Here is a 3,882-nt window from a genome sequence, read left to right on the forward strand (position 1 = left end):
ACTGGTTTGTCCAAGCAGAGGTAGATGAGAGGTAAGCTCCTGTCCTGCTAAAAGTCTCCTAAAAACAGCAAGAAAATATTTTTACATGTTCAAAAATCCCCATTTATTTATATTCCTAAATTTTCTTTTACTCGGTATATTATAGATAATTTAAAAATAAGTAGAATATTTTTATTATATATGTTTTATTTTTATACTTCTAGTTAAGTTAATAGTGGAACATTATATACCTATTAAATGTTTTAAATTACATGGAATTAAAATATCAAAGTTAATTTTGTTATTATAATTTTTAAATTTCAGAAACCTTCTTTAAAATTCTTACTGTTTTATCTTAAAAAATTCATATAGAAATTGTGGTCAGATATAAACTGTGACTCTGAGCACAAATCCCAATGCTATTGCCAATTTAATTCCAATTTTTGTGTTCACACATGAAATGTAGTTTTTCTTTTATTGAGTTTTAAAAATCTGTAAGATTTACCTATCTGAATATACACTCAAGTCTAGCTTCATGTTCCTGTGACCTGTGTGGTCACACAAGGACCCATGTACATAATGACCTCATACTTGGCCTAATGCTCTGCTGTTGCCATCTTGAAACGCTTAACACTTTGAACGAGGTACAACATCCACTTCATTTTGCACTGGGCCCTGCAAATCACGTGGACAGTCATATATGAGTCCAGTATTTTCCTACCACCAGACATTTTAATGTACTGAAGAGATAAAAAAATACCTAATAATTAGAAGTTTTAAAAGAATATTTTTAAGAGTTGTTGTTTGTTTGTTTGTTTTTTAATCCTAGATGTCTCAAGCTTGCCTTCCATTAGATAATGCAGTAAGGAACCCCCAGTTTACAACACAGGGCAGGCAGGAAGACAACCAACTCAATGGGATCTCTGTCCTGTGCAGTCACCGCCAGCTGAGCCTTCTTTTTCTCCACTAAGGTGGTGACAGCATTAACCCCCATTAAAAGGACAGGTGATCTCTTAGTGGGGATGTCTCCTTTGCTTTCTTCTCAGCCCAGGCCAACAGTCTCTGCTGCTTCTCTTGCTTTGTCTCTGGTCTGTACTTGCCAGCCAGCTTACCCCATTGAGCAGCTGTTTGGTGGTCCAAGGCCCTGGTGAACTGATTAATCACAGAAGGCACTTCTAGCTGCTTATAGAGGATGGCTCTCTGCTGCTGCAACCTAGTATAATGGGGCCATTTGACAAAGCAAGTGAGGTCCCTTTTGGGCTGGATGTTCTGTCCAATGCCAAAATGTCCTGTCCAGTGCCAAATTTCTCAAATGGAAGATTCACCACTTTCATGGTCTCCTGCTTTTTCAAGACAGCAAGGGTGGGCACCACCTTCTTCCCTTTGGCCTTCTTTCCTTTTTGCACCTTGGGTAGCTGGAGAAGAGAATAATAAGATCTTGAGAGAAAAATAAGTTGAAGCCAGAGGTAAAACTGAATATTGGTAATATATTTTTGTTTAGGGTTGCTTTCCATTTTAGAAAGTAATTCAGAGTGTTATTTTTTAAAAATCATATATCAGAGTTCTCTAATAAATTTCAAACTTAAAAGAACATTTAACTTCATAAGAGAAGAGAAATGTTTCATGAACATATTTTAAAGATAGGGAAACTAGAATACAATTTGGAGTAAAACTAATATTTTAAGTAACCCGGAGATAGGACTCATATCTTTTAATAGAACATGCATTTTAACAAGCCAGTGATTTTTCAAAGTTTTCTAAAACACTTTTCTCAAACCATATTTAACCTAGAAGTAGAAACAAATAAAAGACACAAAATTAGAGTTAATTTTATTGTAACTGGGTTGGCTCCAGAGATTATAGTTAGGAAGTGATTACATTAAGCTGTACATATGCAGCATTCTAGCAAATTTCAATGCAGTAGACAAAATCTATAAATAATGTGAAACACATATTAACATGTTAAGCATAATATGCATTCATTGTCTTCAACAGAATAATTCTCTATTAATTTTTTAAATGTAATACAATTTTACTTTAAAAACACTGAAAAATCAACATATTTCATTAAGAAAAAATTATAAATGTTGCAAAATGATGATGAAAATACCTATAGTAATAATTCCCAACTATAACAATTTTGTTTTATCTAATACTGGTCAGCTTTCCATGTGTCCAAGCATTACAGAACTTTTCATTAAGCCTAATCCTCACAAGAACATTGCTTTGAGTGATATTCCAGAGTGGTAGTCCTTTAAGGCATTAGAACGATTTGTGAAATCACTAAAAATACTAGGGGAAGTATTCAAAAAATGACAATAGTGCCATTACTCCTCCTCCTCAAAGAGACTATCAGAACTAAAACTCTTTGCTTCATGTTCCTGTTTACTTCTGTCACTTTCAAGTCACAGAGGTATTATCAGACTTTCATCATTATATGACTCTGCTTTTCCAACAGAATCAATTACCTATCCCTTATCTCACATCTTGATAGTGATAGATATTGAATGCTTATGTTCTGATTAGCAAACTCTTTTTGCATTTTTAATAACAACTTGAACTCCTGATATGTCTGGAAAATATAACCCCTTCAACAGCCCTTTCAATGGGTTGCTACTATTTTGCTCACCCCATCTTCACCTGCCTAATCATGAGGAGGCAGGGTATATACAATTTCAGTTAATTTGTAGTTATCAGTCTATTATAGTTCTTTCCTTCTGAAAACCAACAAGTAAATAAACCAGCAAGCATCACCAATAAACTTTGACAGTTTATGGTTCATAACGTACATCTACACCAAACTTTCCATTCAAATGCTTTTTCAAACCTTTGTTTGGTTTCTTCCTCTATTAAGAAAACTTTTGCTTTTGGCTTTCAAAGACATTCTCTCCATTATAAATTCTGTCGTTATTCTCTATTGTGCTTACCTCAAACTGATAACTCTTTCAAATCTTACCTGGCAGTTTCTTGACCACCATGCAAGTTAATAACATTTCTTCTCTATATTAGACAGCAAATGTTTCTCAATATTAAAAAAAAAAATAAAATATCCTACTCTTTGGTCCTCTCTACCTCCCATTTCATCCAATATCACTTGTTCAAGACCTGAACTCGTACAGGTTTTTAACCTGTTGAAGACTGTCACTCTATGGACTCTACTCTCTTCTCTCTCCTCCATAGCCTTCTCATTGCCTATTTTCCCTACTTGTCCAGGAAATGATGACATGTTTCATCACTATAATTAATCCATTTCAAATGGCCTTTATGCCAAATGATTTTATTATATACTCTTTCTGTGCCGTGCCTTGTTTTCCAAATTTACCACAGTACAAATTTTACAATTAGTTTTCCATTACTGAATTAGTACCAATCTCTGTCTTAAAAAATAAATATAGTAAAAAATGATAATGAATTTATTTCTTCTTATAATACTATCACTGGTGCATGATTAGAATAAATTAATCTTAAGATTATATAAGCATTTCTCCAAATGGTCTTCAAATTCATTGATTTTTTTGTGATTTCAATTTCCATATTTACTGTTCCTGTTGCAATTTTTTCAGATTTTATAAGTATATGTATTAACTCAGAACACATACCTCTTATCACACATATTTTTTCATGTAATTTATCTAAATCTCATAGAAAAGGGTCCATTTGCATTTTCTCTTCTTAGACTCCTGATTTCAAATAATATATTACTTATGAGTATTTTTCTGTGCTGTAGTTATTCATTCTTATAGATATGTAACATAATTCCTTTTTCAAAGGTAAAAATTGAGCTATCTCTTGTTGAGGATTTGTTGATCTCTGTCTAAAGTTTCAAACATAAAGAACTTTAAAAGCAAAATGTAAATTCCTTTCAAGTTTTAGTAAAATTACTTCAAACTTAGTAGCTTAAAC

The 3,882-nt window shown here is 32.8% G+C and overlaps 1 pseudogene; it reads right to left on the reverse strand.

The window, feature by feature from the left end:
• On the reverse strand, nucleotides 805-1,406 carry RPL7AP46 (ribosomal protein L7a pseudogene 46; annotated as a pseudogene).

This window comes from Homo sapiens, chromosome 9 (genome assembly GCF_000001405.40).
Source record: "Homo sapiens chromosome 9, GRCh38.p14 Primary Assembly".
In the NCBI taxonomy this organism is placed as follows: Eukaryota; Metazoa; Chordata; class Mammalia; order Primates; family Hominidae; genus Homo; species Homo sapiens.